The following is a 24,584-nucleotide window of genomic DNA, read 5'->3' as shown; positions in this document are numbered from 1 at the left end:
ATGTTCATGTAAAGAGCCACCTGTGGTTAGTGGCTACCATACTGGACAGTCCAGGTCTGGAGGTCTGTAGCAAACAACATTCCGTATGCAGGGAGCTGAGAGAGAAAGACAGCGGGAGAATGAGAATACCGCCAAAACCAATACAAGCCCACTTCCTAACTTGGGTGAACAGGTATGGTGTGGAGGAGGAAGGAGTGCACAGACTTCTCTGCTACTTAAAGCATATTGATCCCACCTCCTGGGAGAAAGAAGAAAACAAACTGCCCTCCGTATTTTTTGAGTCAGTATAATATTTTATCTCATAAAACACTGGTGAGTCTTCCTTAAATTCCAATTAATACAACTTAAATTCATGAATATGAGCTTTCATGCCCCATGAACCCCCATGCCCCCATCACTTACAAAGTTCTCTGAGCACCAGGGGAGAACTCAATTACTATAAAACAATCATCCTGGTTCTTCAGAATGTGCTAGACTACTGGTTTAGACCCAGAGAGGAGAGCCTACATGGACTTCCTGCTATATTTGCAGGTTAAGAACTTTAGCCAGATAACATTTGCTTTTTCCCTGAGGAAATGAGCTTCAAAAGCAATAAGAAATCTTATGCCTTATTAAAAGGAATATTTGACAATAGCTGGGAGGATATTATGTTTGTCTTAATCATGTAAGAGTCATCAATCTCATTTCCATTGGTCCAGATTCCAGATCAGCTTACTATCTTGTTGATACATTAAAAAGTCATTGATCATGCCTGTCATCACAGCACTTTGGGAGGCTGAAGCAGGAGGGCCGCTGGAGCCCAGGAGATTGAGGCTGCAATGAGCTAAGATGGCGTCACTGCACTCCAGCCTGGGTGACAGAGCAAGACTCTGTCTCAAATACCAAAAAAAAAGAAAAAATAGTACAATAATTATATTACAAAATATTTAAGGCAATAAAATACAACATGGCAGAAACAGAAAGTATGAGACAAGGGATTTTAAAAAGAACACAAACGAAGTGGAAAAAGTTCAAGAACAATTTAAGGACGAGCAGGCTTTCACCTGGAGGAAATATGAAATTTCAAAAAACCACCGTGCCTGGTCCTGGTTACATTATTTTTTTGCAAATATTTTTATTCTTACCATACAAATTCAAATTTTAAAAAATAACAATTACTAACATGTTTCCCTCTCTCCAAGTAATTAATATTTTCAGTTTGGAGAAAACCATTTCAGGTGTCTGGCTCTGCCTATTTATGGATGGATAGAGAGAGGTAATCTAGAGAATAAAATAGTGTCGTCTTATAAACCTGTTCTTAATAAAATCATTACATTTTTTTTACTTGACTTTGAGGAACAATGAATAGAAGTAAAACTAAAGATATTGCTGAAGTTTGAATATTTTTTATTACAAGAAATATTAGTTCCTAAATTATCCTAAGTTATTCTGTACTTATAAAGTCAAATCTGAAAAACTGAAGAAGTTGCAGTACTTTCAACTATCGGCTTCAAGTATTTTAATCTCCACTGTGGAAGATAAGATTATCATACACATAAACAAGTAGCCTCCTATTTCCCTAAGTATTACTTTCCATTTTTTGTTTGGTGTTATATTTATGTTACAAAAATTATGAATGTATATTTCTTCTTTGTAACCATAATCATCCAGAGTTGATAAATATTAGGTCCTATGTGTAAACAGATTCAGTGTTTGTTCAATACCTGTATTTTTTATCATAGTTCACATCTCATTAACTATCTTTGTATGTTTTGTAGAAAACACTTAAATGTGAAAAAAATTAAAAGTAATATAACAAACAAAAATATATATAATATGCATCTGTAAATAAAATATAGGATTATTTAAAAAAAAAAGTCATTGATCAATGTATTCAAATTTGGACAGCAGATTGTGATCAATTCTGATTCCTGAAGATCATTTCACTGCACTGCAGAAACTTGAGCCTTGATGATTTTGTTTCTAAGCCTTGCCTAAGAGAAACAATATAGTAATTTCTTAATTGTTTCATTAATTCCCAATTGGCAAAAATATACATTTTTAAATGGATTAGTAGAACTTGTAATTAAATTAACAGTATTGAATATCTAGATAATGAAGATTTCAAAAGCAGTTGCTATATTATGATCATATTTTTCCTTATATTCTGAAAAAAAACAGAAAAACAAATGAACCCTTCCAGTTTAAACACTGGATAACTTCTGATTATTTCTGTCTCAGAGTTGCCAGGTACTACAGGAGTAGACAGTCAACAGACATTTTTCATTTAAAGTTGACCTGGAGAGGCAAGCTCAGTTGTTCCAATGATATGTGTGCATGTATTGCATTTGTTTAAAAAATGCAGCTTCCAAGACATAGGGCCTGGAAACTGGAATTGTAACAAATACCCTGGGTGATGCTTATGCAGCCTAATTGATGTAAGCCCTTCAACACTGAAGAAACTCGCTAACTACGAGTGTCACTAATAGCTCTTATCAGCCGACCCACAAAACCAGCAAGGCGTCCATTTGTGTATTCAAATGCTTAACATCTAAACCCAAGACCTGCTCCATAAATAATATTTAACAGACTTTACAAAGCAGATAATTCTGGATATTTCTTACTTAGTAATGTAAAATACAATTCTGGTCCTCAATGTCCAGAACTCACAGGAATTTGTTTTCCTCAAAAAAAAAAAAAAAAAAAGTCAATGATCTGTGAAGAATTCTGATTGCTGGTCAGTAGGACAGGACAAGATCATAAACCCAGTAACACATTCATTTCTCCCATAATCTCTTTCCCATTATGAGCAAGAACTCTGGTGCTGTAGAAATTAGCTTTAAAAAGTGTCTCGGTCTCCGGTGACTATGAAAAAATAGAATTAAAATGAATCATCTCATCTTTAAAGTCTGAGAGGTTCAGGGGCTCAGACCTCCAGCCACCATGGGAGTGGTCTTTGAGAGGTGCCTTTTCTGGGTGCTGTAAGACCAATATGAGTTAAAAATATAATTTATAACAGTATGTGGAGTCATGAAGACATCATTTTTTTGTGAAGAAAAGGAAATTTAAAGCAAAACAGCAACACAAAAACACATATTTGGTAGTGAAAGCAGAAGAAACAAGAAGTGAAGGTTAACTATTAACGGAGACTGTCCCTTGGCAGGGTGACAATACTCATAAATTAATTAGTATTTCTCCATGAGTCAGGAGCATTCTCAAATATTCTTGGGTGATATTCAATTAATAAGCAAAAGCTATATCACTTTTGTTTGTGTTCTACTTCCTATAATTTGCAGGGCCATCTCTTTGAGATCCAAGTGCCATAAAAGACCATGTGGACGATGTCATATCTGGTCTGTGTCCAACTCACATTGATGGTGTTTGTTTCCATAAGCCTGGGGAGTGCGCCTCAATTTGAAGTTGTGGTGGAGTCCAGATCAATCTTTTTCCCTAAATACATGGAAGAAATGGGAGAAATGAGAAAGGAGAAAGCATGAGATCAAGTCATAATATGCAAGGACTGGGAGCTGACAATTATTATAAAGTCTAAACAAAGCTGTATTTGGCCAGGCGCGGTGGCTCACTCCTGTAATCCTAGAACTTTAGGAAGCCAAGGCGGGTAGATCACTAGAGGTCAGGAGTTTGAGACCAGCCTGGCCAATATGGCAAAACCCCATCTTTACTAAAAATACAAAAATTAGCCTGGCATGGTGGTGCACCTGTAATCCCAGCTACTTGGGAGGCTGAGACAGAAGAATGGCTTGAACCCGGGAGGTGGAGGTTGCAGTGAGCCGAGATCATGCCACTGAAGTCCAGCCAGCCTGGGCAAAAGAGCAAAACTCAGTCTCAAAAAAAAAAAAAAGCTGTATTTGTAGGTTGTTTGTACAGTCATAGGTTACTTGACAAGGAAATATGTTCTGAGAAATGCATTTTTAGGCTTTTTTGTGTGTCATTGTGTGAACATCATACAGTGCACTTACACAGACCTAGATAGTAGAGCCTACTACACTCTTAGGCTATAGGGTACAGCCCATTGCTCCTAGGCTACAACCCCGCACACACTGGACTGCAGGCAACTGTAACACAATGGTAAACATTTGTGTATTTAAACATAGAAAAGGTACAATAAAATACAGTTAAAAGATTAAAAATGGTGCACCTGCATAGGACACTTATGATGAATGCAGCTTGCAGGATGGAAGTTGCTCTGGGTGAGTCCTTGAGTGAGTGGTGAATGAATGTGAAGGACTTGGACATTACTGTGCACTACTGTAGATTTATAAACACTGTACACTTAGGCTACAATAAATTAACTTTAAAATATTTTTCTTTAATAAATTAACCTTAGCTTACTGTAACTTTTTTAGTTTATAAACTTTTCTTTTAACTTTTTGACTCTTCTGTAATAACTCTTAGCTTAACACATAAACACACTGTACAGCTAAACAAAAATATTTTCTTTATATCTTTATTTTATGAGCATTTTTCTATTAAAATTTTTCTTTACTTTTTAAACTTTTTTGTTAAAAACTAAGACATAAACACACACATTGGCTGAGAACTACACAGGGTCAGGATCATAATATCACTGTCTTCCACCTCCACATCTTGTCCCAGTGGAAGGTTTTCGGGGGCAACAACAAGCATGCAGCTATCATCTCCTGTGATAACCATGCCTCCTTCTGGATACCTCACGAAGGACCTGTGAAGGGCTGTTCTACAGTTAACTTTATATATATATATGCGGAGTATACTCTAAAATAATGATTAAAAGTACAATATGATAAATACAGAAGCCAGTAGCATAGTCACGTATTATCATTATCAAGTATCATGCCCTGTCCATAATTGTATGTGCTATTTACATTCATACTACAGCAGAGCACAAACATTACCACCAGCAGGTAGGATATTAGGAAGGCTGCCGTCACTAGGTGATAGGAATTTTTCAGCTCCATTACAATTTTATGGGACCATTGTGGTATACGCGATCTGTCGTTGACTGAAGCATTGTTATGTGGTGCATGACTGTACAGGTATGGCAGAACTCTGGGAAGATTGTTGCCATAGGTACTGTATTGCTTTTATTGCAGAAAGCATTGAACACTTGAGCATTTTTAGATCTTTTAAGCTTTTCCAGATATTTTTTCTTGTCAGCTAGTTATGTCAACTCTTTCCCTGTAGAACTGTTTGTTAAAGGGCATAAGCTATTCCTATAATTAATCTCCAAAAATGGGCAATAGGAAAAAAATCCTACCATTTTACTTAGAAATTTTTTGTGCTTATGAGAAATTACCATTGATTTTAACTTTTATAGAGCTTGTTCTCTTGGTATCCAAGCAAGTTCTGCTACAGTTAGTATTTTAGAACTCTTTAAGGAACTGTGGTACAGTGAAACCCTAAAACAACTCCCTCTCCTTCAAAATGTCAGATATTAAGAAATTCCAGATCTTTCCCATGGTTTCTCCCCACAAACACAATCCAACACTAAGACTAATCCTCCCCTGATTTTAAGATACAATTTAAGAGCTGTTGGCTTGACAACTCAAGCTTTAACAACTTTAAAACTTTAACAAGTTTTAACAAACTGCTAAGAAAAGAGTTCAAAAGACAATGAATCTTGACAATATACTACTGAGAGCTCTGAATTTGCTCAATTTCAAAAACACAAGGAGCTTGATTATCTTTAAGTGAGACCAAATCAGCCCTGCCTTTTTACTATTTGGTCAATTCAGTGAGCAAAGGAAAAATAAAAATAAACTTGGCTAATATACTCAAACCTAATAGCCATCCATTAATAAGTATTATACTAACTGACCCACTGAAGACTGGTCAGCTCTGTCCAATTCACTATGAGCATAATCTGATTCCACTAATAATTTATCATTAAATCTTTAGCTTAAGATATAAATAGTTCAATGATTTAAAATTTAATAAGAAACTAATAGGGATTCTTCAATAGGTTTTTGGTTTATGGGTATAATTTTCACATTAACATTTATCATTACATGAGAAAGTATAGCTGTAAAAGATCTTTCTAGAAGTGCATGTGCCCTTTGACCCATTAATGAGAAAATGATTAAGTAAATACTATAATGGTATACATAGCTACTGAAGGCAAGTCTTCAAAAGTTTTCTGGACTTTGTAAACTTTCTAAAATGTGAATGTATTATTTTACCAATGAAAAAAGTTATAAAGTCCCTCCTAGTTTCAATATAAGCCTCACATAGATACTTTAAAATAATCACTGGCTTTAATCACTCTTTATCTTATCATCTTGTTTAAATTTCCTTCATTTTCATTAAAATGTCTTCATTATTGTCTCAGTTGACATTATTTTATAACTTATTATCTTCCGCATCTCAACTAAAATGTAATTTTTGTAAAATTAAAGACATTATGTCTCTTATTCAATGTGTTCTGAGACTCTAAACCAGAGACAACAGCAGTGTGGGCATGCAGCAGTTGTTTGTTCAATAAATAAATGGACTGCCCGCTAAGCACATTCTCTCATAATTACATTTGATATGTCTCTCTCCCCTCCTGGCCCTTGCCCCCGCTAATATAAATCCCATGAGGACAAGGACTATGTCATCGTTTTTCATACTGCCAAGACATTATGCCTGATCATGTAGACATTCAGTTGTGCATGAATTAATTAATTAATTAATGAGTTTAAAGTCTAATTATTAACGCTTATGCTCTTTCCTCTACACCATTATGCCTAAGTTCACCCTGGTGAGAAGCTGATAGGAATTCTAAGGTTAGAGAGAGTTTTGCAGTCAAGCAGGCTTATAAATCTTGGTTTGAAGGAGACTGAAATTGCATTTGCCATGGTACTTCAAGAGTCTTTAGTGCACAGGAGCATTGTAAATTGTCAAGAGGAGACAGCGTGTCAGGCAGCTCATCCTTGGGACAGGCCCTCATGGCAGAGCAGGTTACTGAACAGTCAGCCTGACTTAGCATGAAAGTAATTTCATTTGTTCATTATCTAAATCATCAAATCTTATTGAGCTTTTCATTATCACATAGAATTTTTCGAAATAAGTTTTTCTACTAGCTGGGGAAAAGTGATGGTAGCCACATTTTTCAGCTTTCTGTAAGAGTCTTTGGGGATATCCAGACCTTAGTCTTACTCTTAGTCTTGGAGTGCTTGTCTTCCCAAGCTGCCTCTGGCTGCAGGAGGACCTTCTCTCTTGTGCCTTGACAGCTTTCCTCTTTGAGTCTCTGCCAATGCCAGGGGAGTGCAGTGGCCTGAGCTATGGAGTCAGTCTTTGATTCAGACCTCAGTTCCTTATTTGTAAAACATGGATAATAGTAATCACCATATGCTTACTGAGAGGTGTATGTTTTATGCAATGGGACAGTACATATTTATACTCAAAAATATGGTTTTCCTCCTGTTCAGTTTCATTTGGGGTCATTTATATAAAGGCACAGAGTTAATTTAATAGATTGGATAATCATTGCATTTTTTTAAGATTCACAGACCCCTCACTTGCTGCAAGAATATGCAAATACAAATAAAGCACAGTGGCCTAGGCAGCAGGAGAGCATTCGATCATCTGGATTTGAGTCCCTCTTCTGCCACTTGATAGCTATGTGACAGTTCCATCCCACAACTTCCTCATCTTGAAACAGTGTTGTTAATACCACTTCACAGGATTGCTGTGAAAATTAAATATGAAATAAATATGAAAAGTAGCTTCCCCTCACTCTTTTCTATCTCAGCCCCTGATTTGTTTCCTTGGTAGCACTTTGAGTTTTATGAGTCACATCTGCTTGTTTACCATTTGTCTTCCTGTGGAGGATGTATGCCCCAGAAGTGGAGGGAGCTCATTGCTATAGTCCACGCAAACCCTCAGTTCTAACACAGTGCCCCACATGGAGAAGGATATGCTTCTTTGTTGAGTGATCACTCTTTTACATGCACTTGGCATACATTAATTCATTGATTTATTTAATCCTCTCATCAACCCAGTATGTGGTAGGATTATTATCTCCATTTAAAAGATGAGGAAATTGAGAAGATTGCATTGCTCACAGAACTAATAAGAGGTGAGCAAGCCTCTTCTGTCTCACTGAACAGCCAATGATCTCAAGAGTCCACATCATGGCCCCAGTGACTGTCCTCATAAGGCAGTGTGGTGAAAGGAACATCTCCAGGATCCTACAGGACACGTTGCTAGGAGTCTCACATGGTATCATCCATTGAAGCTGCACAGCTCCAAAGAAGGGAGCACTGGTCCCACATGAAACTGGGAGCAGGGATGTTTTTTACATATGGCATAAACTTTGATTGCAAAGATTAAATGTAGAAAAATGAGAAAAACAATCATACCTCCTTGATAGATTCTTTATTCTCTCTCTGATCTTTTAGCAGTGGAGAATTCTAGGGCTTAGTTCTTGGGCAGTTTCTGATCTCCGTCCACACTTACTCTCATAGTGATTCCATCCAGCCTCTGGCTTTACATAGCATCTATATGCTTACAATACCCAAATTTACCTCTCTAGCTTGGACTTCTCCCCTAAATTATTGACTTGCATGATATATTGTCCACTTGATATTTCCACTCATATGCCCAAGAGAGATCTAATTAACTCATCTTTCCCATCTCAGATTGAAGGCAACTCTGTATGTCCAGTTGTGCAAATAAATCTTGGCATCTTCATTGCCCTCTCCCTCCATTTCTCACATCCTACATAAAATCAATTAGTCAGTTTCATTGAATCTACCCTCAAAATATACCCAGAATCCAATCACTTCTCACCACCTTCCTGGTACTGTTTGGTCTAAGCCACCAGTATCTCTTGCTTGAATAATTACAAAAGGTTTTCTTGGTTCTGCTCTTGCCCCTTTGCCACTTGTAATCAATTCTCAACAAAGTTATCAGAATTTTTTTTTTTTAAGTATGTCAGATCATGTCACTTCTATACTCAAAACTCATCCAGGACTCATCATACTCACAAAAAGTTAAAATCTTAGTACAGGCTCAGTGGCTCACACCTGTAATCCCAGCAATTTGGGAGGCTGAGGTAGGAAAATTTTTTGAGGCCAGAAGTTTGAGACCAGCCTGAGCAAAATATCAAGATTCCATATCTACAAAAAACAAAACAAAAGAGTAAAAGTCTTTTCAGGGACCTATAAAGCATTACATTACCAGGTCATCATTACTTTTCTGACCTCCTATCCTGCAGCTCTTCTCCAGATTGCTCTACTTTAGCCACCTTGGTCTTCTTGATGTCCTTTGGACACTTCTGACATGCTCTTGTTTTATGACCCTGGCCCTTGCCTATCTGTCCTTGTGTCTGCATGTATTTTCAAGTTTTCCCCCACATCTCACTTTTCAAAGAATAAGCTGATCACTTCACTTACTACTACAACTTTTACCTCCCAGTGTCATCTACTTGTCCCTACTTTAATCTTTTTTCATAGCCTGTATCACCTTTTAATGTAAAATAATAATTTATAATTTATGATATTTATTGTTTATGGTCTGTCCTTTCCCCTAGAATGTAAAATTAAGAAGCTTATGAAACTTACTTTGTTTTATTCATCAAGGTATCCTAAATATCTAATATAATACGTTGTAGGTACTCAATAAATATGTGCTTGATGGTCAACATTAAATTTTATATTTCACACTTGAGAAAGTATTTAAGTCATGTCTCAGTATTCTTAAGTTTGTTGAGTTTATGACCAGCTTTAGAAAGAGAATATAAAGTTCTTTTCAAAACGTTTTGCTAAACAGAAAGGAAGCCACGAAGATAGACTGAATGAGAAAACTGAAAGTAGAAAGAATAAATGAAAAAGCTGAGGCAGAAGACAAAAAGAAAAATTAGAATCCAGGGAGAAAAGATAGGCAAGTATGGATCAGAAATTAGGAGAGTATAAAAATAAATTTAAAACGTAAATTATTATCAACTGAAAAATATAATGCCATTGAGTCCACATTAAAAGTAGAATTAAAATCTTCTTCAGTACTTAGCTTGGTGTTCAAAAATCCCTTTTTATTATGAAAGAAATTATCTTTTTTGTTTTTACTACTCATGATTATAAGAAAAATAATCCTTTGATTTATTGAATAAAAAGTTGTACTCAGTGTTGAAACATTACTAATCATTTAAAGGCTTTTTTGACACATTATCACAGTTATATTTATTTACATATTTAGCATTTTCATACGCTCTTCATTTCTCTGCATTTATCTATATTTCCAAATGATATAATTTTCCTTCTGTGTGGAGAATTTTATTTAATATTGCTTGTACTGAAGGTCTGCTAGTAGGGAATTCTTTCAGCTTTTATATATTTGAAAAAGTGTTTCATTTCTATTTTAAAAGGTATTTTTACTGAGTATAGAATTATATGTTGACAACCTCTTTTTTTCTTCCTTCCTTCTTTCCTTCCTTCCTACTTTCCTTCATTCCTTCTATCTTTTTTCTTTCTTTTCTTCCTGTTGCTCCACTGTCTTTTTGCTTGCATTGTCTCAAGCAAGAAGTCTGCTGTTTTTCTTTGTTATTGTGTATGCTGTGTTCATTTTTTTCTCATCTAATTTTAACATTTTTCTCTTTATCACTGATTTTAAGGAGTTTCGTTAGAATTTCATAGAAATTCCATAATTGTATATTATTTCTAAATTACACATTTTCTTTTCATTTTCACATAAACAGAGAATTTTAATGCTGTAAGTGGTGTTAAAGTGTACTAAGTTCAAATTCTTTGTTTTTATAGACGAGAAAACCCAGAGTAAATGTCTATGAGTGTTATTCAATTTAACATTTGAATACTCATTCAATTAATATTTATTCAACTGGTAAATGTAAAGAAAACATGAGAAGGAACAACTCTGTAAAGTAAAGGTCAGATAGATAGATTGGTAGGCATAGATATAGATACAGATATATGTTAGGTTTAAAGATGTTGGCAGAATATCCATGTAGATGTTTCCAATAGTCAGCTAAAGATCTTAGAATAAAATGAATCTGGGTCTATCAATAGATACATAGATAGAGAAATAGATAGACAGATAGATAGACAGATAATTTCTTTTAATTTCCCCAAAGATGAGAGTGGGAAGATCTAATAAAGATTACAGATAATTCACCAAGAAGAACACCTTAAGCTGAAGAACAGAATGAGAAAGTCTGAGAAAATGTCAGAAATGTAGTAGAAGCAAGAGAATGTAAAAGCTTATTGAAGAAGTGGTACCAACTAGAGTAAATGTTCCATCAAAGAATGGATGCTCGTTAGTACTTGATGGAACAGTTCAGAGGGAAATAAGGAGACAGAGCATGAAAAGTTATAATGTAATTTGGCAACCCATGTTCATTAATGACCTTCTAAATGATAGTTTTTTTAGAAGGAAAAGATTAACAGAAAGTAGGAGAAAATACCAATGTTTTTGGTAACACACATATAATGTTTACTATTGTGCCATGAACTCTTCTAAGCTGTTTGTAAGTATTAAGTCATTTAATTCACCTTCATAAGAATCATTATCATCCCACTTGTCAGATAAGAAAATTGAGCCACAAACCAACAAAGTACTTGCCCAAAGTCTCACAACTCATAGATGGTAGAACCAGAGTTTAGATTCACATCTGTGTGATCATGCTCTGCTCCAGAATTCATACTTTTACCCATTATTCTACACTGACTCTTTGGGGAAAAAATGAAGCACAGTCAAGTCCTATTTATTGTCTCAAATCATGGGCAAAACTCTAATTAGAAGCGTTGGAGATGGGGGAAAGATTGAATATTATCAGAAGGATTTTTTTTGGTCAGTTTCTGATCAATGTAAGATAAAAATCTTAAACGGAAAATTATCTACTGATAATTAAGAATCCATAATTATGGTTCTGGCCAAAACTTTTACCAACTATATGATCTTTGATGGGTCTTAGCCTCGCTGTCCCTGTGTCTGGATGTACTCACTGAGATTGCGTTTTCTCTTCTATTGAGTTGTTAATTTCTAACATTCAGGGTTATTTGAGACAAAACATGTCAGAATGCTTTGTAAACTTGCAAAGAATACTGAAAAGCAAGGTATTTTGTTATTTTTTAAAATTGAAAGAAAGTTCAAACAACACAACCTTGTTGACATCCTTGATTGAAATAAATGCAAAAATGTTATAACGGTTGGAAAAATGAACATGAAGATTGAAGGTACACACCAAAAAATAACAGGTGTCAACTGAAATTCTCCAATTTAGATAATATAAATCATTTTCTCCCATGTAAATAGATCATCATCCAGGTCAATTCATATATAGCTTAATTTGATGTTGTGGGGAAAACAAAAACATATAGGTCCTGACATATTCTAATTTCTTCATATACTTTTTTAAAAATAAAACTTTCCTCTTACAGCAGTTTTAAGTTCACAATAAAATTAAAAGGAAGGTCCAGAGATTTTCTATATATCCCCTTCCTGTCCCCACATGCACATTCTCCCCCACTATCAACTTCCCCTGCCAGATTGGGCCATTTGTTACAATTGATGAACCTCCATTGACACATCATTATTTCCCAGAGTCCATAGTTTACTTCAGGGTTTATTTACTCTTGGTGTTTTACATTCTGTGGATTTGGGCAAATGTATAATCACATGTATCCATCACTACAGTATCATACAGAGTATTTCCACTGCCTAAATGTCTTATCTGCTCCATCTAGTCATCTCTCCCTCCCCCTGGAAATCAGTAATATTTTCTTAATACATTTTAACAATTAATTTTATCCATACTGTAATAGATTGAGATAACTAGCAATATCTTTATTTTTCTTGTAACTTTGTTCTATAATTTTTCTCAGATTTGTCAGGCATCATGATTAGGCACTTCTAACATATTTTAGAAACAAGTACATATAAAGGATTATGTAAACACTTTCAATAATAAGATAACTCATTATTGGGTTATAATAAATACTTTTCATATATCTCAACCTGGGAAACAAAATATTAAATACAAAATTTTAACAACAATGGCTTATACCTTTGAATAACATGTATTATCTCTTAATAGTAAGACTGTATATGAGATTTTACAATCTTAGAATTATTTGAAAATTGAACTTCAACTTGTCATTAACATTGAAAAGTGCCGCATTTGCAAAGTCATTATGGAAGCACATAAGCATAAGCACATATTAAGAGGAGGGGAAAATGGTAAAATGTAATGCTCCATTGATTTGTTTTCAAAGCCAAGTTGATGCTGTTTTTGTCTTCACCATTATTTTTTACTTGATAAAATGTTTTGGTCCTTTCCGTCTGTAGAGAATTCTTCAGCCAATACCCTATCTTCTCTGTTAAGAGAGAACCAGCAGCTACAGTCAAAGTTCACTTCGTGTTTTATGTGTTTCTTTTTTTATGTGAGAGACTTAAAATGCCAGCCCTCAAAGACTGCTGGGGCCTCACAGCTGACCTGAACCTTGTACATGTCTGCCACATCCAGGATGCAATCTACAATAGAGGCAGGGAGAAAGTGGATGTATTAACTGGGCTATATATTATATGTTTATATAATAGATATATTAATAGATTCTAAGCTATTAATGATACTAACAGCTATAATTTTGGTCACCATACTATGTAACAGTCACTATTGCAAGTAGTCCTCATTCAATCCTCACAATAGCCTTGCAAACTAGGTACTATTAAGACCATCTCACGAATAAACAAATTGGGGCTCAGTTATATGTAGGGGAATTAATATTTATACCCTGGTCATTCTGACCCCAAAGACTACCAGCCAGTCAACCTGTTTGTCTATTGTAGCCTGTAAAAGTTATGATTCATTTTAGAAGTTTTGCTTGTACCTGATTAGAATTATTAAGCAAGAAAAATTACTTCTGTATTGATTTAGTGATTAGCTGCCCTTTAAAAACCTGTGTTGGACTAGCAGGACAAGAAAAAAGAAGGTTTCTAGTACAACTTGTGTTTTTTTGGACAGAATGCTCCGAAGGCATGCAACTTGTGGTTGGGCATGCCATGGAACATTTTGGGGGAAAACTGATTAGCTAACATACCACTATTAACTACTGTTAGGTAATCCCCAAACTAGGGAACTTAGGTTGGTTAATACTTGTTAAGCTAATATAACTAAATGATATTATTTAGTGCTGTTTAAATTGAATTCCACTAAGATTTTTTTAAGTAAAATTTGGGCATTATAAAAGGTGACTCATCAAAAAAGATTTACTTGCCCCTGGACACTAGCAATAAAAGAGTAAAAGGGACATAGTCAGTGAATCATTCAAGTCAAATATAAGGTCATTGTATTTAGTTCCCACAGAATCATGCACCAGGAATTTGGTCTGAGGCCTTGCCTTTCCACTTGATGCTGTAGGGGGTAGGAAGGTGTGATACCTCTCCTCACCCATCACGAGGGTCACAGCTGACATTCCTATAACCACAGACTGGTTAATAAGAGTGAAGCATAACAAATTTATTGAATCAAAAAGTTTACATAAACTCTGCCACAAAGTAACACAGGAGCCTTCAGAAATGAATAGCAAAAGACCCAGGGAAAACTGTCTATTTCTATGCTTAGGTGTCATGAAAAGTGGATAGCTATGTGGAAATGTGATTGGATAAAAGGGTATGAACTTTTGGTAATAGAATGAGGAGGGAAGCCAGCAAGTCCTGTCTGTTCAGATTCTTCTTGACCTATTTGTACAGCACTATTTCCCCCAGAGTATGAGGAGCTTCAAAAAGTTCATGGAAAAATGGAATTAAAAGATGAAAATTTAAAAATATAAACTTTATTTCTCAATATGAGCTCCATCAAATTGAAGACACTTTTGTAAATGATGATACCAGCCACTTAATCCACCACTGAGGAACTAAGAGTCATGGGAATTTAACCATGCCCATGCAGTCATTTTAGCACTATTAACTGAAGAAAAATGAGTGCCCTTTAAAGATTTTTTGAGATTAGGAAATGCAAAGAAGTCACAAGGAGCTGAATCAGACTGTAAGATGGATTCCTAACGTATTCCTATCAAAGATCTTGCAAAATTGCCCTTGTTTAATGAGAAGAATGATCAGGAGCATTGTTGTGGTGAAGAAGGACTCCCTGGTGAAGCTTTCCTGGAAGTTTTACTGTGAAAGCTTTGGCTTTCTCAAAACACTCTAAGAACAAGTAGTTATTATTTTTCTTCAGCCCTCCAGAAAGTCAAGAAGCAAAATGCCTCAAGAATCCCCAAAACTTTTGCCATAACCTTGACTCCTGATTGGTCCACTTTGGCTTTAACCAGACCACCGTCACCTCTTGGTAACCGTTGCTTTGATTGTGCTTTGTCTTCAGGATGGTACTGGTAGAGCCATGTTTCATCTTCTGTTACAATTCTTCAAAGAAATGCTTCAGGATCTTGATCCAACTTGCATAAAATTTTCATTGAAAGCTCTGCTGTTGTCAGGAGCTGATCTGGACACAACAGTTTTGGCACCCATTGGGTGGAAAGCTTGCTCAACTTTAATTTTTCAGTCAGAATTGTGTGAGTTGAACCAACTGAGATGTCTGTGGTTCTGGCTATTTTTTGCACTGTTAATCGCTAGTCCTCTTTAATTAGGGCATGCACAAGATTAATTTTTTCCTCACAAATTGATATGGATGGCCAGCTGCTGTGGGCTTCATTTTCACATCCTCTTGCCCCTCCTTAAATGAATTATCCATAGGTAAATTGCTGATTTCTTTGGGACTTGTCCCCATAAACTTTTTGTAAAGCATCAGTGATTTCGTCATTCTTCCACCGAGCTTCACCATAAATTTGATGTTTGTTCTTGCTTCAATTGTAACAGAATTCATGTTGCTTTGATAAGGGCTGTCTTCAGCTGTCTTATGCTTCTTCATGCCTCAAACTAGAGGCTGTTCAGATGTGTTATAACAAGTTAGTATGACTTTATTTTTGTGCAAAAATTGTTGAAATCCATGCATGTTTTTTCACAATATGCATTTTCCATGAACTTTTTGAAAATACCTTATACATGGCAGTGACCCCACTGGAATGAGAGTCTTCAAGGGAAAAGGGAAAGAATGACTTTTCTAGGCTTTATGGTTTGCTTAGGGGGAGGGGCATTCTAGTTTCTTTGGCTTAACCCATGGAATAAGTATCCTGGTTTCTATGACTCACCTGGGGGAGGAAAAAGAGGGACAAGAGGGCAGGAGAAATTCAGAGAGAACTTGCTTCCGAGGCCCTTCCAACGTCCTTCAGTTCAAAGTCAGCACGTCAGGGTGCCATACTTTCAGATATTGTGTTCTGAGCCCCAACAATGCAGACATAGAAAATAGCCAAGTTTAGTCTTTTCCTTTGTAATTCTCGTGCCCTTAATCATGATTGGTCTATGTGATACTTTAGTTGAGCATGGTATGGTGTTTGCCCTTTGTGGTAATGGTGATTGTTTATAGACAGATTGTAGAAACTTGTTGAAGAGATGTGCTTAACTATTTTATTCGACTAAGAATTTTTTTTAACTAAAAGCTCTGAGAAAGCCAATTTGTTAGAAATCAAGTGGTTCACAGGATTTAAGCTTTTCCTTCCCCCAATGTAACAAGCCATCTGGACACCTTGAATCTGAAATTTTAGAAAAGAAACCAAGGCAAGGCTGAACTAATAAAAACAGTTCAGATCTTCAGGCTCAAACTGGACACCTGCATTGGGTAGAAGCCCACCGTAGACCACTTTGTCTCCCTTACAGGAACTCTCTGACCCATCGTGAATTCTGAAAAAATTGCAGAGCTGGTTAGCTTATCTGACATTACAGTTTCCAGGAAGATTCACAGATTTTTTGAAGTGACTCAATTGCTTTTGCTGCCTCTAGAGCACAGGACTCCAACTGTCCCTGAACTATCATTATTCACCCTGCCTGTGGCTCAATGTCAACATGTCCAAGAAGACAAAGACTGCCCAGGATAGCAGTGAGGATCCATTAATTTCAGATGTCCCCTATTAGATCTGACAATGTGGCCAAAGACTTGACAATTTTTAGTAACAGTTAGCTCCAATATAGTGTTCTCTCTTTAATAAAGCATCAGCGACATATGTTTGAAGTCACAAATTAAATATATTCTAACACTCTCCCCTTACCTTTACAATTTTGAGATCAGAAATTCTGATAGTGTCATTGAAGTTTCAATGACTACTTTTAGGGTTATACTGTTCACTTTTGTTCAAACATGTTATTAAACACTTTGGAGTCTATTTTATAATTTTGCTAATAATCCGTATATTGAATAATCAACAGGCTACTGTTAATCATACCATTATGATTAAACATTTATGCATATCACATATAATTACATAACTCATTTTCAGTCAATTATTTAGAAACAAAATAAAGGAAAAGCTTGGGCAGCTCTAGGTTACAGAGAGCTTTACTTTACTGAACCTCAACCACGGTGACCCCACAGTGGTCATAAACTAACAGTGGTCATAAGTCTCTAGGAAATTCGTTCTCAGAATTCCCGCCCCCAATAGGCCAGTTAAATTTAGGCTACCCAGTATGAAACCTCTGCTCTCTGATGTTACAAAAGGGTTTGTATCAAGGATAGAGCTGAAAGTTAAGCACATGTTAACAGATTGCACTCAAAGGGGGAACAGTTACTGAAGCCCTTGAGCATCAGACAGCATTGTAGTTAGCTTTGCCCAGAGAGAGCTGTGCCTGTTCTCATCATGAGATCAAGAATTTTAAAATGAGCTATGTGATGGTTACTATCATTATTATTAACATTTTCATATTCAAGGAAAATGTTACCCACATTATTTCACTTCATCCTTGCTGTAAGTTCAGAGAGGTGCACAATATTACCACACTTTACAGAGGAATACATGAATTTTGGAGAGATAAAATGATGTACTCAAGGCCAACTGGCCAACAAATTATAAAGCTGAGACCAGAATATCATTCTTTTTACCACCAGTTCAACTAATTTTAGGAAGAATAACAGATCCCCAACAAAGAATGGGGTAGGCGTTTTTTCCTCATTAACTCTGTGTAGCCTACCTGCTCTGCTTGTGGAGAACCTGGAACTAGCACATATTGAGAGAGGATTTCTGACGTTCATGCAGCATGAGGAAAATTGTCAGTAGAAGCAGACTGCCTTTCTCTGCTTAGAAATTATACGCTTTGTTAATAGGACTTCTGTTATTCAAAAACCTTAAAAGCATTTTGGAAACTTAAGGGGAAATTATAAAAATAACAAAGAAGTTTTTATAAAATATACTACAAATGGAAAAAGTGACCTTGTAAACTCATACCTAGGTGCAGAGGGAGTAATGCAGACCAGGAAAACTTTCCAAGAGGGTACTCAGCATTTGCCCCCATGAATATGAGTCTTTTTTAAAGGCAAACACATGGCTTCAAGGGAACGTACACACTTCCTATGGGGGTAATTAGCATGCCTTCCACAGAACCATTAAAAGCTATGTCTTTCACTGCATTCCACTCAGTTCTCAACTTGCATGTCATTGATCACACTGAATCTTTCAGAAAAAAATTATATTTGAAATTTCTCGGTTTAGGAAGATAGTCTTACAAGTCAGCCCACTCATGGACAGGAATATTTTGCAACCTACAATCATCCCGTGAGCTTCTAGTTCTTACTAATAAAAGGGATTCTGAACAGCAATGTCTCTGTGGATATATATGTTTCCCCTCTTTCACAATAGGACCTGGTCACACAAGTTGCATATAAACTTTTAAAGATACCCAGAAGTCCTTTAAAAGAGTATTTTGTTGTACTCAGTGACTTGGATTGCTGTCAAAATGGCTTTTATTTTAAACTTGGCTTCCCAAAGTCATGGCTTTCACTTGATGTTTTTCACTGCCTACATAACAAAACAGACATACATTTTCAACCCAACGTTCCTCCTACTCACTAATTTTAAGATGTTCTTAGATAAACAGATTTTTAATGCTTTACTATTTTAGTTAAATTCATCAAACCATTGGCTCCTAGCTATTTGTTAATTGCTTGATTTCTTTGCCACATTTTTCTTCCTTGCCACTCAGAACATATTAAACTTCTATTTTATAATGAGCTTCCAAAAATTGTATCCAATTTACTCCTTCTCATATTTACTTTCTTAGGGAAAAATTATATTTTATCATGTCAGCAATTTACTCCCCATATGAGGTAACTGCTCTGTTCATCGTGACATCATCATTCCACAGTTAAAGACCACTAAAGGCTTAAAGATTCACTGAATGCTTCCAGTTTTCTTCAGAAAGGAATATTCTGATTCCCATACAATTTTTATTGATAAAGGCAACAAAAAGGACTAGCAATGACAGGACGTATGCATTCAAATCTTTTTAATTGAAATGTTTTCCATGATATATCAACTTCTTAATGTTGTACCCTGCTATTCTGATTATTGTATAGCATTTTAAAATGGATGAAACATCACAATTCATTCAGAAAGAAAAACATCAAAATTTTTTAAAATGATCACTTTGAGAAGACAAATGTTCTAGCAAGATCACGTGCAAACAAGGATGAAACGTATCTCAATTCTTCACAAATCCTGACCAATAAGAAGCTTAGCATTCTGTTTCTAAGTGGCCAGTGAGTTACCCATCCAAATATAAATATATAGTAAGTAGAACGCCATAAAAAGTTGAAAGTAAAACAAATGTTAACAGTTTGCTGAACTGTCTCCCCTAAAGGATGGATTCAGTGGTATTAAACTATAGCTGATATTTCTGATCAGAGAGTTATGAGACTGGGGAAATATAATTATGTTTTCTGTTCGATCTGTTCATTAAATTCTCAGGCTACATAGTTTTTATATGACAACCAGACCATGAAATAACTTGCAGTCATTTATGAGAGTTTTGGCACCCCGGGAAGTAGGAGGAACCCATCCTACTCCCAATGACTCTGGCGGGTATAAATGGGCATGGGAGAGGGATGTGACTGGAGAAAGTGTATTTTGCAGTAACATCTGAAAGGGGAAGCTCTTATATGATACATCAGACTGGCCTAAGGCCAGCTTTCAGAGGGGCCCTTCCTTGTCACCAGGAGAGGAGAGCCTTTCCTAGCCACAACAGAAGAGACCAATTTCTGCAGGCAGAGAAGGTTCTGCCCTTTAGGCATGGCTTTGGTATTTCAACAAAGACCAGTAGTCAGCAGGGTTGGGCAGGCACAGACTAACAGAGCTTTGGGGATGAGGGACCTACCAGTTTGCTACCTTATACTTTTAAGCCACAGGAAGCTTTAGTCTCCTTTTTTTTTACAAAATATTAGGCTCAATTGAAAAGTATCCATAATTTAAAGATATCCCACTTGGAAAAGGGACAGCTATCTGGTCTGATTAGCTCTAAGTGGGAATCAGTTAGTAATCAATTCTTCATCAATTATTATGGGCAGGTACTCTGAGTCAGGCCTTAGTCTATCCCTGGGATTCTGTGCTGAACAGGACAGAATCACTGCCCTTATAAAGTTCATGTTGTAGTGTGAGGAGAAGAAATAAGCAAATACTCCAGTAAATATGTACTGTCTTGGAGGATGTTAGGTTCCACAGAGAACATGGCAGGGTCATGGGATAAGTGACCATGGGCAGGAGAAATAGGAAGGGGGCGACTGAAGTGGCCAGCAAAGCCTTCTGTGTAGGCGACTCTAGGGCTGACATCCGGGTAAGACAGAACCACAGGAAACCCACGGGAACAGGTCCAAGTGGATGATGCAAAGTCCCTGAGACAGGGCCGGATAAGTGTTACAGCGCTGACCACCTGCTCTACAAAACAGTCCACTGAATGTGCTACGAAGTTAAAACACACACCCAATCAATCCTGGAAATTTTTCATTTCAAAGGCCACAGGAGACGCACAAAGTATCCAAATCAAATGAGCACCAAGTTCCTTCCTGTAAATGGTCTCGTTCTTTCTGTCGATTTTCTACAATATAATATACAAAGAACCTCTCTAAATGGCTTACAGGGAATTCACTGGTAGCTCCAGGCAGAACATCTTGTCCTCAGTTAACAAATGAGGATTATGATGGTTCCCTTTGGACTGTAAATAACCTGTTTATATCAGATATTTTAGTTTTGGCAGAGTCTTCAGGTGTCTACACTTGCACAATCCATTCTCTGCTTGACAGGTGTAAATGTTGGATGTTTGTCAGCATCAAGGGGCCTTCAAGCATAATGATCTATTCTTCTGCATTCTTAAAGAGGGCTTACAAAGTTTAAAAAAAATTGAAGATGAGAAATATCATACCAAAAATTTAAATGGACTCCAGGTTAATTTTCTAAGTCATAAGTGCAATTAGAATATTTGTAAAAAAATTTCAAATTTCTAACTGTGGAAAATCATTTAAAGCTTGTTTGTTTAAAAAGCATGCATTGCTGGCCGCAGTGGCTCACTCCAGTAATCCCAGCACTTTGGGAGGCTAAGGCAGGAGGATTGCTTGAGGCCAAGATTTGGAGACCAACCTGGGCAACAGAGCAAGATTTTTTCTCTACAAAAAAAAAAAAAAAAAAAAAAAATTAGCTGGGCATGGTGGCGCACACCTGTAGTCCCAGCTACTCAGGAGGCTGAGGTGGGAGGATTGTTTGAGCCCAGGAGGTCAAGGCTGCAGTGAGCAGTAATCATGCCCTGATGAATCATGTCACGCCAGCCTGAGTGACAGAGCAAGACTATGTCTCAGAAGAAAGAAAAAAACCATGCATAACTGCAGTGGCTGTGATGAGCTAAGTACTGCATACTAAACAGACCAGAGTGACTTCTATAAGACATTAAAATCTAATGGTGATAACGTTTGCAAACATGAACCTGTAAAATATTCTGGATAAAATTATCCCTACATTCAATATTGTTAGTTGCTTTGTGTGAAGGATACATTTTGAGAAGTGGAATAGACTAAGCATTAAAGAAATCAAAGACTGAATAAAAATTTTCTATTTTTACCCAATGGCAGAGTGAAGAAAGTAGATGTGACAAAGATTTTAAAAGATGCTCTAAGAAAATGTATAATATACATGTTTCCTTTCCTTTTCCCATAAAAATATATTTTAATCTTCCAAGGTCAAGCACTTACACTTCCAAAGCCCTAATGCCTCAGTACCTAGAGCATGGTAAGTACTTGGTAAATGTTTACAGAATGAATGGAAGGGAGGGAGCAAGGACAACACCCCATAAATAGTGCATGCATTCAAGACTGCATTGAAATGACCAGGAGCTAGTTACACTCCTTACACCAGTTGGTTCCAAATAAATTGAGAAAAAGACACAGGCAGCAGATGAGGTTCAAACTATGAGCTTTATACTTGGTATTCTGAATGGAGAACATGCCTTAGCACTGATGCACTGATGAGATATCAATCTGTGACTTACCCTGGGGACACTGGGTCTCCAGTGCAGACCCTTATGGGCCAGCTATGTGGATAATTGCTCACTGTCTGTCTCTCATTGCTGAGTCATGAGAGCAGGGACTGACAGAAGTGTGTCCAAAAGGGAGAATGACCGTCCACTGGAAAGCCAGACCTGCCTGATAGGGAGCAGGAAAGGTCATTTCTCCCCATATTACTCACCAATTGCTTGTACCAACTTTACTCACATGGGAAGGACTAAGCAAAGAATGGAGAATGCCAAAGTGTCCGCATGGACACTTGGGGACATGGGATATAATTCCTCATATTTCCGGCTACATTCCCAAGGGTTCTTTTTTCTCTTATCCTGGTTTTAAAAGGTAGACAGTGGGGCACTGGGAGGGAAGAGTATTTCTCATTTTAAGCACACAAGAAATCTGGGTAAAGAGATAAGTACATCCTCTTCTTGATCAACATTTGGAAAAGAAGGAAAGACATTTTAAAATGAGTCTCAATCTAATGAAAAAATGTAAAAAATATTTGCAGAGACACACCCCAAAGAAGAGATACAGATGAAAAACAAACACTTGAAAAGATGCTTAGTATTATTAGTCACTAGAAAAATACAAATGAAAACTTCAATGAGATACCACAATGCACACTAGAATGGCTAAAATTTGAAAACTGATAGTACCAAGTGTTGGCAAGAAGATGCAGTACAACTCTCATATATAGTTGGTGAGAATGCAAAATGGTACAGCCACACTTAAAAAAATTTGGCAGTCTCTTGTAAAGTTAAACATACACTTACCATATGACCAAGCAATTCCACCCCTAAACACATACCTAAAAGAAATGAGAAGCGATGTCTACACAAAGACCTTTGCACAAATATTTATAGCAGCTTTATTATTATAATAATAGCCCCAAACAAAAGCAGCCCTAAAGGCTAACTGATAAATAGATAAACACATTGTGGTATATCTATACAATGGAACACTTATTCAGTAATAAAAGAAATACCTAATAATATATACAACCATATAAATGAACCTCAGAAGCATTATGTTAAGTGAAAAAAGCCAGACATAAAAAGTGTTAAACTGTATGATTCCTTTATCAGCCAGTCACAAATAGACAAAACTACAAGGACAGAAATACATCAGTGGTTGCCAGGAGCTGGGAGTAGGGAAAGAAGTTTGACAAAAGACAAAATAGATGCAAGGGAACTTTTTGGCATAATAGGAATATTCTATATCTTGGTTGTGGTGGTGTTTATGTGACTAGACACATTTGTCAAAACTCATCAAATTGTCCACCAATAAAGGGTACAATTTTAGTGTATGTAAATTATACCTTGTTAATTAATGCAGGAACAGAAACCCAGATACCACATGTTCTCACTTATAAGTGGGAGCTACCCATCACATACTCATGGACATGAAGATGGGAACAGTAGATACTGCAGGGGAGGGAAGGAGTGGGGCAAGGGTTGAAAAACTAATTGTTGGGTACTATGCTCAGTACCTGGATGATCGGATCATTTGTGCCCCAAACCTCAGCATCATGTAATATATCCAGGTAACACATTTGTATATATATCCTTAAATCTAAAATAAAAGTTGCAAAAGAAAAAAATTATGCCTTAATAAGTCTGAATTTTTAAAAAATGATTCCAAAGTATCTGAGACAACGTTGTTCAAATCAACCAAGTCATGTTTTTTTTTAATATTGACAAATAAAGATTGCATATATTCAAGGCATACAACAGACTGCTTTAATATACATGTACATCATGTAATGATCATCACAATCAAATAAATTAGCATATCCATTTTCACCAATGCTATACATTACATCCCCAGAACTTGTTTCTCTTATAACTGAAAGTTTGTACCCTTCCATCAGCGTCTCCCCATTTTACCCACTCTTCATTGCTAGCAATCATCATTCTACTCTGTTTGTAAGAGTTCACCTTTTTTAGACTCCACAACTAAAAAGTGAGATCATATAGTATTTGTCTTTTTGTGTCTGGCTTATTTCACTTAGTATAATGTCTTTGGGGTTTATCCATGTTGTTTCAAATGGCAAGATTTCTTTCTTTTTTATGCCTGAATAATATGTATATTTTTCTTCATATTATATATATATATACTATATATATATATGTACCACAACACAATGAATACCAATGTATTTATTATTGACATTTATATATGTACAACACACACACACACATACACACACCACATTTTCTTTATCCATTCATCCATCAATGGGCACTTG

General features: G+C 36.2%; 1 annotated feature.

Annotated features, from left to right (window-relative positions):
- Nucleotides 13,421-14,620: an enhancer, noted in NCBI's record as "BRD4-independent group 4 enhancer chr8:55809304-55810503 (GRCh37/hg19 assembly coordinates)". NCBI's record gives its function as "activates an origin of replication core promoter dependent on BRD2, P300/CBP, MED14 and CDK7 cofactors, and independent of BRD4, by STARR-seq in HCT116 cells {active_cell/tissue: HCT116}" and the evidence as "EXISTENCE:reporter gene assay evidence [ECO:0000049][PMID:35650434]".

Source organism: Homo sapiens, chromosome 8 (genome assembly GCF_000001405.40).
Source record: "Homo sapiens chromosome 8, GRCh38.p14 Primary Assembly".
NCBI classification, from domain to species: domain Eukaryota; kingdom Metazoa; phylum Chordata; class Mammalia; order Primates; family Hominidae; genus Homo; species Homo sapiens.
The sequence above is the reverse complement of the archived record's forward strand: the minus strand, read 5'-3'. Positions and strand labels throughout refer to the sequence as shown.